We start from the raw sequence: 14,930 nt of genomic DNA on the forward strand, positions 1-14,930 counted from the left end.
ACTTATTTTTTCATTATATTTCTGCTGGGGTTGGCAAAAGTATTCCGTAAGTCAAGGGTCCCCATCCCCTGGGCCGAGGACCAGTATCGGTCCATGCCCGTTAGGAATCAAGCAGCACAGCAGGTGACTGATGGCCAAGTGAGCATTACCGCCTGAGCTCCATCTCCTGTCAGATCAGCAGTGGTCTCTGTGAACTGCACATGCAAGGGATCTAGGTTGCACACTCCTTATGAGAATCTAACGCCTGATGATCTGAGGTGGAACAGTTTCATCCCGACACCTCCCCCCTTACCCCTGTCCATGGAAAAACTGTCTTCCACAAAACCGGTTCCTGGTGCCAAAAAGGTTGGGGACTGTTGCTGTAAGTGACCAAATAGCAAATATTTTAGGATTTGCAGAACATACAGTCTCTATCAAATATTATTTTTAAAAAACAGTTCTTTAAACAGTTATGGCAGGGTCCCCAAGACCACTGTCCAGTTCAATGACTCACAGAACTCAGAAAAGTTACGTTGACAATTAGTTTATTAGAGCAAAAGTACAGTTTAAAATCAGTACAGTTTTAAAAGGCAGATAGGAAAGAGTTCAGAAGAGAGCAGGACAGGCTTCCAGTTGTCCCATCTGACAGGAGATGCATGCACAGCACTTAATCCTCTCTGAATGAGTGTGGGTCATTTATGAAATATTATCAACCAGGGAAGCTGAGACTTGGTGTCCAAGGTTTTTATTGGGTGTTAGTCACATAGGCATGGAGAACAGAAATGGCAGATGTTATTCAGTTTCCACCTCCCCCGGCGATTAAATTGATACTGCAAGGTGCAATGCCCTCACCATAAATCTGTAGCATAAACTATCTGGTGTGATCCAAGGCCCCAGGTAAACAAAGGCCTTGCATCAGGCAGGATATTCCAGGGGCTTAGCGCTGTGATCTCCCAGGAGCAAGTTGAGGGCTAGACCTTTCTTTGAAAGGTGCAGGTTTCAACACGCCAGATCTATTAAGTCACTCCTTTCATACACACGTTAAAAACGTTCTTAGTTCATGGGCCAGGGAGTAGATGTGACTGGAGACTCTAGTGCTAAGTGTCTTTTAAGTTACCTTTTTCTTCCTGCTATTTCAATAACTGCTGTAAGAAACATCCTTGTACATTTTTCATTGTATACATATGCCATATATTAATGACAAAGTTATGTTCTTTCAGAAGTATGTAAAATTGGAAATATATAAAATATGCGATTCTCTTTAAAAGCAAATCAGTCTCTAATGCTAATCACTAGAACCCCAAAATTATTAATAAATTTCAGTCTTTCTTAGTAAGAAAACTGAATTTACAATCTAGCGAACATAAAAATTTTGTATAGATACTAGATTTAAGCAAAGATCTCAAGAAATATTCGAGTATCATATGTATTCTGTCATAAGCAATAAACTGCTGTTGCTTTTCTGCCATTTCATATAAAAAGAAAGGACCTTTTTAGTCTAATTGTTTTATCATACATATGTTCTCCTAATCTGAACTGTAACCTCTGTGTGAATATTGACGTTATGAAAAAAAAAGCTTTACTTGTCAAAATATGACCAATATAGGAGACTGGTAGTTCATAAACTGCATTTATTAGTATCTTTAAATGTAGATAAATTTAACAAAATACTGTAGTTTTTTTTCCCTCTCTAAATCTAAGGTTCTCTTTTACAACACATCAATGTGATTTCCAGTTTTTGAAAAAAGCAATTCAGTCTTCTCCCAGCAACAAATGCCTACAAGCTTTAAGTGTTCTGACAATTTCTGTACCTAAATATGATGCAAAACTTTAGTCTTATAAAAAGACAGATGTTGAACTGCTGTTATAAGCAATATGTAATTTCAACTTTACTAAAGTATGAATTATTTTCTCAACATGTTTGCCAATCCCTGATATTATCTGACTGGATGTGAAATGGTATCTAACTGTGCTGACTGGCATTTCCTTGACTCCTAGTGAGCTAAAACATTTTTCTGTTAATTGACCTTTTGGTTCTCTCTCATATATCACTCATTTATTCCCCCCTTAAGTAGTCCTTTATGTAATTTGGACACTTCCTTTGTCAGTTCCTGGTAGATAATTGCAAGGTAAGTACCTTCCACGTCTGTGGCTGGCCCTCTAATATTCAGTGTCTTTTGTCATACTTAAGTTTCTAGTTTTAATATAGTCAGATGTGTGACTCTTTTTCTTCATGGTTCCCACTTTGAGTCACATCCAACAACTCCTTCCTTACATTGGTTCAAATTTTCCTGTATTACCTTCTAAAATATTTAAAATGGTATTCCCGCCCCCTCCCCCCTCCGCCACATTTAGGTCTTTAATCTACCAGTTTTTAAAAATATGGTGTGAGAAGGGTATATAATTTTTTCACATACAGACATGCAATTGTCCTAGTGCCATTTATTGAAAAGTTACTAATTTCTCCACTGTGTCACGTATCAAGTTCTCATGTATCTGTTTCTGTACCATAGATTTACATGTCTATCCTGGCATCACAAGGGCTGTGTTATCACTATAGTTTTATAAGCCCTACTGTCTTTTATGATAGGTACTCCCCTATTTTTCCTGTTTAAAAAAAAAAAATCTCAGCTTTGTCTTTCCACATTCAGGTTAGGTTGATTAAATTCCATAAAAAGTTTTGTTGAGAATTTGATTGGAACTTCAGTGAATTTATAGATTTGGAGAGAACTGGTACTTTAATGCACTGATTTTTCCCATTCTCTAACATAGAATACTGCTCCATTCATTTTAGTCTACTTCTACAAAATCTTGCATATTTTTATTGGATGTATTATTAGGTCCCCTTAGAGTTTTAATTGTGAATGAAATTCTTTCAAATAATACACTTTCAAACACACTGAAGTGGAAAAGAACACTACTAATTCTTGCAGATTGCTCTTATATCCAAAATCTCTCAACACTCACATTAGTTTTGCTACTTTGTAGTTTTCCTTGGACTTTCAAATAAACAATGATCTTGCCCATTAACAATAATTGATTCTCTCTTTCCAGTCTTTATGCCTATTATTTATTCTTCTAGTCTCACTGCACTGGCCAAGATCTCCAGTGCAACATGGAACAGATGTATTAATACAATATCCCATTCCTGTACTATTGCTGACATTAAGGAACATCTCTAAAGTTGTACCATTAACTTGTAACAATAACTATGGGTTTTGGTAAGCTATCATTTATCGTACTAATACGTTTATTCATCTATTAAGAGGATGTTTTATTTTTAAAATCCTAAGTGAATATAACTTGCATTTTGCTGGTTCTCCCCCTCCAACTCCCTGCATTCACTGAGATAGTAACATGCCTTTTCTCTTTAACCTATTAACATGGTATATACTATGTGAAAAGATTTTACAGTGTTAAATCATTCTCCCATATGGAAATAATCCTTACTTGGTCACAATGAATGTATTTTAATAAATCATCCAGAGCTTGTGCATTATTCAGAGTAGATTTTAAAAAACAGATTGAGACTTATTTACTAATACATATTTGGCAACACTAATCAAAAAATATCTAAAATTTCAAATTTATTCACATAAATTCACAATCACTTTCTAAATCAAATAATTTTAATTTTATCCGTTTTCATGCCTTATTTCTTTCCTGATATCAAGCTTTTTTTTTTTTTTTTTAATTTTAGACAGGCAGGGTCTTGCTCTGTTGCCCAGGCTGGAGTGTAGTGACACAATTATAGTTCACTGCAGGCTCAAACTCCTGGGCTCAGATGATCCTCCTGCCCCAGCCTGCCAAGTAACTGGGACTACAAGTGCATGCCACTGCACCCAGTTAATTTTTAAAATTTTTGTAGAGACAAGGTCTCACTATGTTGCCCAGGCTAGTCTTGAACTCCTGGTCTTAAGCTATCCTCATGCCTCAGCCTCCCAGTGCTAGGATTACAGGCATGAGCCACTGTGTCTGGCTAAGTTATCTTTTCTTATTGATTAATTTTGCCAGGCGAGTGATAACCTCTACCCTGATTCTATCACCACAAATTAGTTTAAAATGTTCCTTTATGCTTTATGTCCTTTAAATAGTTGCCTACCCCAAAACATGAAGACACTCTCCTGTTTCATTATTTCCTTTCGCATTTAAACCATATTCCACATGGAATTGATTTTTCTATATATATGGTATCAAGGAAGGGGTCTACTTTTTTCCCCAATACAGCTATCTAATTGACTGTACCATTACAATAGTTTCTCTTTCTCATAAATCACAGATGACCTAAATGTGTGGATCACCACGTATACAGAATTCTGTTACTTTGTTCTATTTTGTTCTAGTCTACTTTGCTCTAGTCTGTTACTTTGGTCTATTTGTCTATCCTTATGCCAGCCAACAACAGTGTTAATTACAACTACACTTTTATAATCACAGGTCTTATGTCTGTTGGTGAACATTTTTCAGTTTTATTGCTCAAGTTTATCTTGGATATTCTCGGTCCTTTGCATTTCTTCAGTTTGTTAATTTCTCCAACATACTGTTGGGATTTTGATAATATCATATATTGAAGTTACAGATTAATTTACAAAATTGACTTCCAAGTCATGAACATGGTATATCCATATATTTAGAATTAAAAAAAAAATGCTTAAATGATTGGAAAATTTCTTGTATTTATTTTACACTAGTGTAAATGGTATCATTTTATCAATTTCTATTTGTTTCTGATATATAGAAATACAATTTCTGTATAGTTTGTATTCAGTGACCTTGATAAGTTATTTTGTTTGTTGAGTCTTTTCAAATTTCTATGCACACAACCAGTTGTCTATAAATGGTATTATTTTCTTCTTTCTAAACGTTCTATCTTTTTACTTCAGGCCTTACGTTATTGGCTAATATCTCAAATATGTTAAACAGTAGAGGTTATTATTGTTTTTAGACTTCAAAGAACCAACATTTTGGCTTTCTCTATTGTGTGTTATTTCACTGACTTTTTGTCTTTTATTATTTCGTTGCTCTTCTTTTTCCAGCTACTTGAAAATAGTTTAGGTAATTGACTTTCAGCCTTGCTTCTTTTCTAATGTATGCATGTAAATCTATAAATTTTCCTCCACGCACTGCTTCAGCTGCAACACACTTTTTGGTATGTCATATTATTCACTTGAAAATATTTTTAAATTTGTTTTATTCTTTGACCCAGGGACTATCAAGAAATCTATTACATAATTTCAGAGTAGTTGCGGGTTTCTCTAATCATCTTTTTTACTGTTTTCTAGTTTAATTCCACTGTGTTAGAGAATGTAAGATGAATGCTTTTGATCTTTTGAGATTATTGGTTTGCTTTATGACTCAAAATAGGGTAAATTTTGATAAATTTACTTGAAGAAAATGTGAATTATGTTTTTTAAATCAAGTATTCATATATGTAAAGTTCAGATCCTCTGCATCTGATTTTTTGGGGGTAGGGTCCGGATAGTCTATCAGCTATGGAAAAAGCTGCATAAGCCTCCAGCTATGGTTAGACACTTACCTATTTCTCTTCTTATATGTCATTCGTGCTTTATGTATTTCAAATCTGTTTTCAACACATACAGATTTAGGATCTTTATGTGTTTTGGGTGAATTAATTCCTTCATCATTATAAAATGTCCCTCTTTATCTCTGGTAATGCTTTTTGCCTTAAATCTCATTGCCTGACAATACCACATTCAAACTGTTTTTATTTGGTTTGCTGTGTTTTTTTTTCCCTATGCCATTTACATTCAACCTTTTTGTGTGGCCTTGTATTTAAAGTATGCCTCTTGTAAGCAACATGTAGTAGGGAATTTTCAGCCTGATAAATTTTTAAACTTAATTCAACTAATGACTCATTTAAAGTATTTGGGTTTCTATTTTGCAACTTTAAATTTGACCCATTTGTTTTATGTCCCTTTTCTATTCTTGCCTTCTTTTAAATGCTTTTGTCTCCATTAAATTGTTAGGTATACATTCTATTAGCCTTTTAGTGCTTAAGAGATTACAACATGCACCCTTGTCTTCATAGTCTAAAAAAAGTAATCTTACCATTTACCTACCTAATGCTAGAACCTGAGGACAAACTCCAGTACAAACTTCTCCTGTCTCGTTATTGTAGGTGCATTTTAATTCCACAGATATTTTAAACCACAGAATACAGCCAATATTCCTTCAAATTTACCCACATATTTACCATTTCCATTGCTCTTCATTTATTCCTGCATTCCAGGATTTCCCTTGGAATGATTTTGCTTCTGCCTGAAGAACTCTCTTCAACATTTCTTTCAGTGTGTATGTACTGAAGACAAATTTCCATTTTTCACTCAAAAGTCTTAATTTTGCCATCACATTTGGAGTGGATCTTTTGTTTCTTGCCCATTCTTCCTTATCTGGAATGTGAGCACTACAGCCACCATTTTTTGATCTTGAAGACAAATGCTACATGGTAGAGAGTGGATCATAAAGAACAGAAAAAGCCTGGGGCCCTACTGATCTTGTGGAGTTATAGTACCGGACACCTGGACAGCCTACATCTGAAAGAAAAGCAAAAGCACAACAGTTTAAGCCAATGTTACATTGGTTCTTTTTCTGGAAGCAAGTATCATTCCTGATGTCTTTGGTCAACTCTGGAAATTTCTTGGCCATTTATTGCTTCCAGTATAGCTGTTGTCTGTAATTTACATGGAAATACTCCAGTATACACAGTGTGGTACACATAACTTATGTAAAGTCATCGCTTAAGTCTTGCTACCATCCTGATAGAACAGTTCACTAGGAAGATGAACTAGTGTTCTAATCAGAGAATGCATACTCTAGTGGAAGCTATTCTAGGTATTGTTGACTGCATCTTGATCAACATACAATGTCTTAATTTTCATACTAAATGGTAGAAATTTTTATTAGTGACCTGCTAAAGTAATTTTTTAAATGGGCCTCCGATGGTGAGATTAAAGGTTTTCAGACTGACTAATAGCAGAGTAACACATACCACCATTGCAAGAAGAGGCCATAAGAATCCAGCATGGCCTGTAGCCCTTATATTTTGGGATGATGTCCTAGTCTAACCCCCTAAAAGGCTCTTGTCCAGCCATGAACACACCTTTTGTTAAAGTAATAGAATTCTGCTTCTTAAAGGAACCTTTCAGGCAAGATGGTGGTTAGAGCACCTAAATGGGCCAAGAGCAATTTCCTTTAGCCTGCAGAACATGCTAAGATCAGTTTTCTTGCTCGGTTAATATAACAGAAGCTGGCATGAAACTGTTTTCATTATAACGTAGCCGTTAGGGGGTAATTTGGCAGCAGGAGTATGCATGAGAGAAGGAAGCTACCTGTCCCCCACGCCTCAAAAACTTCAGTGCGTACCATTTCTCTACCAAGAGTTGTATACTACACATTCTGTTAGTTCACAACTGCCTCACACCTTCTGTTTTCTCCTTAAACTCCTAAAATATATATGTATATTGGATCTTCCATGAATTACTTTCAATTTTCTACCTCTTCTGTGCTGCATTCTAGCTTATTCCTTCTGTTTTAAAATTTTCCTTCAGGCCAGGCATGGTGGCTCATGACTGTAATCGTAACACTTTGGGAGGCCAAGGTGGGAGGATCACTTGAGCCCAGGAGTTCGAGACCAGCTCGGGCAACACAGTGAGACTCCATCTCTACAAAAATTTTAAAAACTAGCCAGGCAAGGTGGTACATGCCTGTGGTCCCACCTACTCGGGAGGCTTACATGGGAGGATCACTTGAGCCCAGGAAATTGAGGCTGCAGTAAGCCATGATCATGCCATGCGATAGAGCAAGACTCCATCTCCAAAAATATATAATTTCTTCAAATGCGTCTGAATATATGCCAATTCTTTCCCCTAATGACTTTAAAAGAGGCCCCGAGAACACATACTTCTGTACATTTCATTCATTCCTTTATTAAAGCCAGTAACTTAATGTGCCTCACATTTTTAAGCTAAGCATGGATATTCTGAAAGCAAAACTGAAATGTAAACTTCAACTCTTTCTCACAGACACCTTCCTCTTTCTCCACCCTAAAGTCTTGGGTTCAGACAACTTTGTAGCTTCCCTGGGTTATTGTGTAGAAGTTTGCTCATCCTCCTTCCTGAGGCTGGAGCACCTTCTAAGGTCTTGGCTTTGTGTAGGTCTCAGTCCCAGCTTCCCTGTATAGTCAGGCCATATCTCTTGCTGTTAAAGTCTCAGGGTCCATTGGTGAGACCCACAGCCAACACTATCATCCACCTAGGTCAGTGTACCTTCAGCTGCTGAGTTCACTATTCTGGCTGTTTTTTCTTCACTTCTGGCAGCTGGGATTTCCTTTTTCTTTTGTGGTTAGCTGTGTGTATATTTGTTGTTTTCTATGACATCTCTGTAAGTTTAGAGTTATGGGATTGTGGTGGTAGGATAATTTATGTTAGTCAGAATAAGTAACCTATATAGAAGTTCTTCACCCTTCCAGGAAATCCTCCAATCTATGACAAATGACTACTTAAATTGCCATAAAAGGTGAATTGTAAGTACAATAATCCAAATAAAACTTTGATTTTGCTCAGTGACAATATGCCCAGCAAAAAAACTATGTTTCTCAGCATCTCTTACAGCTAAAAGATAGCCATGTTACGCAGTTGTGGCAAATGAGACATAAGCTGGGAGTTTCTGAAAAAGCTTTGTCTTTGTGAAAAAGGCAGCAAGACTCAGGGGTTAAAAAAAAAATCTTGTTTAAGCTACTGTCTTAGAGTTCTCTGTTACACCATAGCCTAATTCAATCACTAGCTGATACACTTTGAAGAGCAGATCAAATGAAAAAAACACCAAACTCAGAGTTGGAAGAAAATGTTTATTTAGCAAAAAGGTATGGAGTAAAATTGGTAGAATAGAAAGGAGAAATTAGAAGTGGGGAATTCTGAGAGGCTGTTTTAAAACATGGTAACTGGGAAATAATTTTGACAAAATTCTCATAGGTAATGAAGCTTCATATGCCCTTACTGCCTAATTAAAAGGCACCTAATAACCAATTTTATTTGTATTAATTGTATTGGGAATAATTTTCTCTAACCTTCTACCTTTCATAAGGAAAAATACAATCCGTGAACACCTAGATGGTTCTGTTTTCACTGTATGGCACAAAGTATCAATGATTTAACTGTGGAGAGTAGTATCAAGTAGAGACTTGTCTTCTTGTGTTCAGGAAGTATTAGCCTTTAACTATGCATTTTAATTGTCAGGTATGCCTTTGCCATTTGAACTGTGTTACTCTTCCCTATCACAGCATAATGGAGATAAAACCATTGTTTTTCATTACCTAACCAAGAGTATCAACTAATTTAAATAAAATTTCTAGCAGTAAACAACTGTATCTATGTGATTTTTTAAAGTTGGTTTTTCTCAAATTTAAACGATACAGTATTAACTGTAACTCCAAGACATATTTGAGTGTCTTCTACTTACCAGGCACAGTGGTAGTTTGTATGAATATTTCACATCAATCATAACAAGCCAGAAATAGAGATGACCCCTATTTTGTCAAGCCAAAGAGGTAATATAGCTTGATCACTGTCATATGACTAGAAAGTAGCAGGGCTATAATATAAACCCAAGGTTTTTGATTCTAAGATAATACCTTTTTATAGTGCCATTATGTTGCTTTTACACAATTTCTGATAATAGCACTTATTAATTCATATTTAGTGGACAGTTTTCTCCATTTGGCAGTCACTTTATTACTTTATTTTCTTAGTAAAAGGAAAAAAGTGTGAAAAAGGGAAGTGAAAAATTGATCCAATCCTTAGGATTACAATGGCAATTAAATAGCTGTTTAAAAAAGCGGGGGTGTGGTGGGTTGAGAATGTGGCCAGATTTTTTAGAAGACCTGTCACCTTTGCTCCCAGACCATCTTCCACTCAGAGGTGGAGGGGACCCTGCTTAAAACATAAGAATACAATTTTATTCTTTCAGCAAATATTTATCATGCCAATGAATTTATAAATATGAGTAAACCCATCTCTGTCCTCAAGGGGCTCACAATCTAAGAAGGGAAGTGGACACACAGATGAATTAGTAGTACATTTAGCACTAGTTGATAGCAATTTAGCACTACTGAGTACAAGGCACATTTATGGCACAAAGAGAGGACCAACTACCTTGGAGTTCCAAGATCAATATACTATTAAGACTTGACACTGGAACTGAGTTTTGAGAAATGGGATATTTTCTGAGTGCTTGGTATGTGCCAGATAGTGTGCTACGTCAGAGGTCCCCCAAATTTTGGCACCAGGGACAGGTTTCCTGAGACGGTTTTGGGAAGAAACTGTTCCACCTCAACTCATCGGGCATTAATTAGATTCTTGTAAGGAGCACGAAACCTAGATCCCTCACACGCACAGTTCACAACAGGGTCTGTGCTCCTATGAGTATCTAATGCTGCCACTGATCCGACAGGAGGCGGAGCTTGGGCCCTAGTGCTAGCTTGCTCCCTGCTCACCTCCTGCTGTGCAGCCCAGTGCCTAACAGGCCACAGACCAGTACCAGTCAAGAGTCCGGGGGCTGGAGACTCTTGTGCTAAGTGATTTATCTAGATTATCTAATCAAATCCTCATTACAATTTAAGAGACAGGTGGCCCCATTTTACAAATGAATCCAGGTGGTTTAACCAATAACTCATTCTACTAAATACTGTGCTCTACCGACATGCACAAACACACAATAAAATAAATAACTGAATGTAGTCACAGAGGAAAAGGAATTTACAAGACTATAACATTCTCATTTACATACAAAAAATATGAAGTCAAAATGTGTAAGGAATTAAAGGTTACATAGTAAAGATAGAGATATCTCATTTCTTCTATTTAAGGCCTGTTGTATGATCGCTTTTTCCTAAAAATAGTTTTCTCTTCCTGGTTTTGCCTTTAACTCCTTCAAACAATCCATTAGCACTTAGAGCTATCTCAAATCACATGCCAACTTACCAAAGAATGAGGTCATTAAATGACTGCAGCACAAGGACACACAATTTAATAGGGTTAGCTAATATTTAATATAAGATATTTACTGTAAATATCAGTGTTTTATAAGTACTGATCTGAAAAGACTGAGAAACAAGTAAAACAAGTTTGCCACCTTTTATGAACACTGCTTCTTGCATGTTCAACCTGTTACACATGGACATACATACACGGTATAAGTTCAAATCCCAGGCTAGCCAACACAATTTTAGAAGAGACTTCTCTAATATAACCTGCTCTATTCTACCTATCTCGAACGCTTCATACCTTGTAATGTTTTGTTTGTTTTACTGTTCCAACATCCCTGTACAACCTGGACCGCATAAAGCTTTTTAGGCACTCTGATTAGTGTTTTCTAATGTTACTCCTTGATAATCTTTTACCTGCTTTGCCTGAACTGCCTGAGGCAGGCTTAATCATTTTTTAATACATAATGAAATAATACAGACTATTTATCTGTTCAGTTTGAAGCTAAACAGTTGAATGCTTGTGTAAAAAATTTAACTTCCATAGGATCAAAACAAAAACCCTAACGTTCTTATAATGCAGTTTTAAAAACACACGTTAATTAACTTAAAGATTCAAGGTGGATGACCTTTAAGATTTGACTGGGATACACATCATGTGATTTGGTGGTACACACTGAGGGAGCTCACATGAGCTTGGAAGCAAAATAAATTGAAATAGCACTTACTAAACAACTTTGTTGCTAGCACTGTGCAGGGTCCTTCACATAGTTCTCTTATCTAGTCCTCCTAACAACCTGATAGCCACCATTTTTTTATTTTAATTTTTTTAACAGAGAACTATCCAGAAAAGATGAACAACTTGTTCAAGGTCACAAAAATGGCAAGTGAGGGAGCCTAGATTAGATCAGAGGTCTAATTCCCAAGGGTATGTTTGTGATATTGTGAAATATATATTTGCTCTTCATCTCCATTTCCTAAAGCCCTTGGAATCTCTGAAATTGTAAGAATGTCATTTGTATGATAACGAAATGAATGTTGCTGGGGACCCGTAGATAGCTTCAGGGTGGGGTCTGGTCATCGGAAAGATCAAAGCATGATGAGATGGTTGGAGCTTTCAGTGCCACCCTCCAACCTCCAGGGACACGACAGGGCTTGGAGACTGAGTTAATCACCGGCGACCAATGATGTAATCAATCATGCCTACAGACTGCAGGGGCAGAAATGGAGTAATCCCTTTCCTCCCCATCATATATAATCATGGTGGATACCCCTATAATGAAAAAAAGTTAACAAGTATAACAGTTATTACATGCATGTGTGTGCACAGGAGTCATACAAAATGTGAAAACTCAAAGAGCCGATAGATGGCTGACACTTAAGTATCATTTTCATTGGGGAAAGAGGGGGAGCTGTAAATAAATGGGCCGGAAGATCAGACAATGGTTTGTAAATGATTCCCTTTGGGAACTAAATGGGACTGGAGAACAGATAATAGATTGGGACAGGTCATCTGGGCTCCAGGTGTGGTGTTTAATTTTTAGTCTCTTCCTCTGTGATATAAGTTTTAATCTCTGGTTAATAAAATTACAGGGATGGAATCGCAGGCAACTGTGTTCCTCTTTAAGGTCCAGTTTCTAGGTAAATAAGGGAACTTTGGTGAACAGCCTCATCTTGTGCTTTGGGAGAGACAGGATTTGGGTGAGGAGAGCTGGAGAAGGCCAAGAGGCCTTGAGGCTGCTTCTTTAATTCAGCATGTCAAAGCCCCATATTTTGGGGTATTGATTTCTGAACCTTAACGTAATGAAGCCTCCACAGAAACTCAGAAGGACAGGGTTCGAATGAGCTTCGAGACAGCTGAACACATGAACTGACTATTCCCAGAGGGTGGTGCACCTGGAGAAGGCACAGAAGCTCCGTGACCCTTCTCAGTATCTTGCCTATGCTCCTTGTCTTTCTGGCAGTTCATGTGTATCCTTCATAATATCCTTTATAATAAATGGGTAAATGTAAATAAAGTGTTTCCCTGAATTCTGTGAGCTGCTCTAGCAAATTAATCACACTTGAGGAGGGGGACCTCTAGCCAGTTGGTCAGAATCACAAACCGCTAACTGCTTGTGACTGACATCTGAAGTAAGGGGTAGTCTTGTAGGACTGAGCCCTCCACTTGCGGGATCTGACACTATCTCCCAGTAGATAATGTCAGAATTGAACTGAATTAGAGGACACCTGGCTGGTATCCACTGGAGAATCTGCAGTAAAGAACTGCTGGTTGTTGGTGGAGAGAAATCCCCACACACATTTGGTGAGAGAAGTGTTGAGTGGAATGTGAGAGGAGAAAGCACTTCTGGTTTTTTCCTTTATCTCTAATAATGTTCCTTCTCCTGCATTGCACTGCCTCCTTAGGAAGCACCAGGAATAAGAAAGGACATCTGCTTTTCACATGTGTCACTTGACAGACTTGTCATGATGATGGGTTAATAAAGAGACTAAAGAAAACCATTACAAAAAAAAAATCTGAAATTTACTTTGGCCACAAAGATGAATAGCAGTTGGACATTCTTGACAACTGCTTCTACTTTAGGTCTAGTGACTATGAAGCACAAAGATTCTCCACATATCATTAATAAATAAATATATATATGTATGCAAGCATGTATTAACTTTGCTTAATGTTTTAGTTTAATCTGATATTAATTTCTATATGTTAAAAGTTCATTTATCATCCATGTAACATAGTCTTCTGCACATCTAATCATGACATTGTATCAGTGACATAGTCTGGTCACTGCATTTAATACAAATACTGATTTGAAGAATTTATAACATTAAAAAAGTTTAAGATTACAGATTGAATGACCATTTAGAAAGTTATCTGAAAAAGAAGGACTGACAATACCCAACCCACAAACTGTTTCTCATTCATACTTATACCTTTACTTGAAAAATAACTCAGTATTTTGGTGAATACTGACTGTGCTACTGACTACAAACAGGAGATAATTTTTTGTATGTGCTATTGACTACACATAGGAAAATAATTTTGTTATATTAAGTATAAATAAAATACCCGCCCCCCACCAAATTTTCAGATAACCTATAAAGTGGGGAAAGCTTATCATAATGTCAAAATGACTGGGATATCGAAATAAAAGTAACTGTATACCTTTTAAGTGCCTTTTATACCCTTCAACCAAAAAAACCTTATAAAAGTCCTCCCTACCCCCAGGGAATTTGAGCTCTTACAACATTTGCACAGAAAACAAGTGGCAAAGGAAGTTTCTCAAACTAATTTTAAAAAACAGAACAACCCACAAATCCTGTTTTTATTTTTTGACAAAAGAAAAATACTGAACATTTTTTAAGGAATGATTTTGAAACAAGCAAGGAAAAGGTCACAACTTTGAAACCAGTTATAACTGCACCTGGATAGTCCCAAGACAGAAAGTTAAGTAGCTCAACAGGTTCTACTGCTAAGATTTTGAATCACAGGAATAATGTATATTAAATAGTAAAAATACCCTTGGGACTAGTTGTTTTTCATAAAAGTTAAAGAAAGTTAAGGCTAATATTAAAAAATAATCCTAATTTATATACATATAAAAATTCTAAATGTGAAATTGTTGTTTTATAATGTACTAGTAGCTTTGAGAAGAATTAAAATTAAAAAAATAAAAATACCTTTACATTTTAACCTGGAATTTAAAACAAGAATATTTCTAGATTTAAAAAACCTCTCAATATGAAGTCATTATCAATGAAGAGGTTAGTTGATTATAATATTGCATAATATGTTGCACTGAGTAACACTTTTGACATTTACTAAAAAAAAAACACATTAAAAAAAGTGGAAATGAACATAACTAAAAGATAAACTCTATTATATATTACAGATTCCCCCCATCTTGACTGACATTTTTCAATTACTGAAGTCTACAGGAGACATTTAGAA

At 36.3% G+C, this 14,930-nt stretch overlaps 1 protein-coding gene across 1 annotated transcript in view; it reads right to left on the reverse strand.

Annotated features, from left to right (window-relative positions):
• ZFAT (zinc finger and AT-hook domain containing) overlaps positions 1 to 14,930 on the reverse strand; it is a 354,552-nt gene that overhangs the window by 305,399 nt on the left and 34,223 nt on the right. The gene's annotated exons all lie outside the window — the stretch shown is intronic.

This window comes from Homo sapiens, chromosome 8, assembly GCF_000001405.40.
Source record: "Homo sapiens chromosome 8, GRCh38.p14 Primary Assembly".
NCBI lineage: Eukaryota > Metazoa > Chordata > Mammalia > Primates > Hominidae > Homo > Homo sapiens.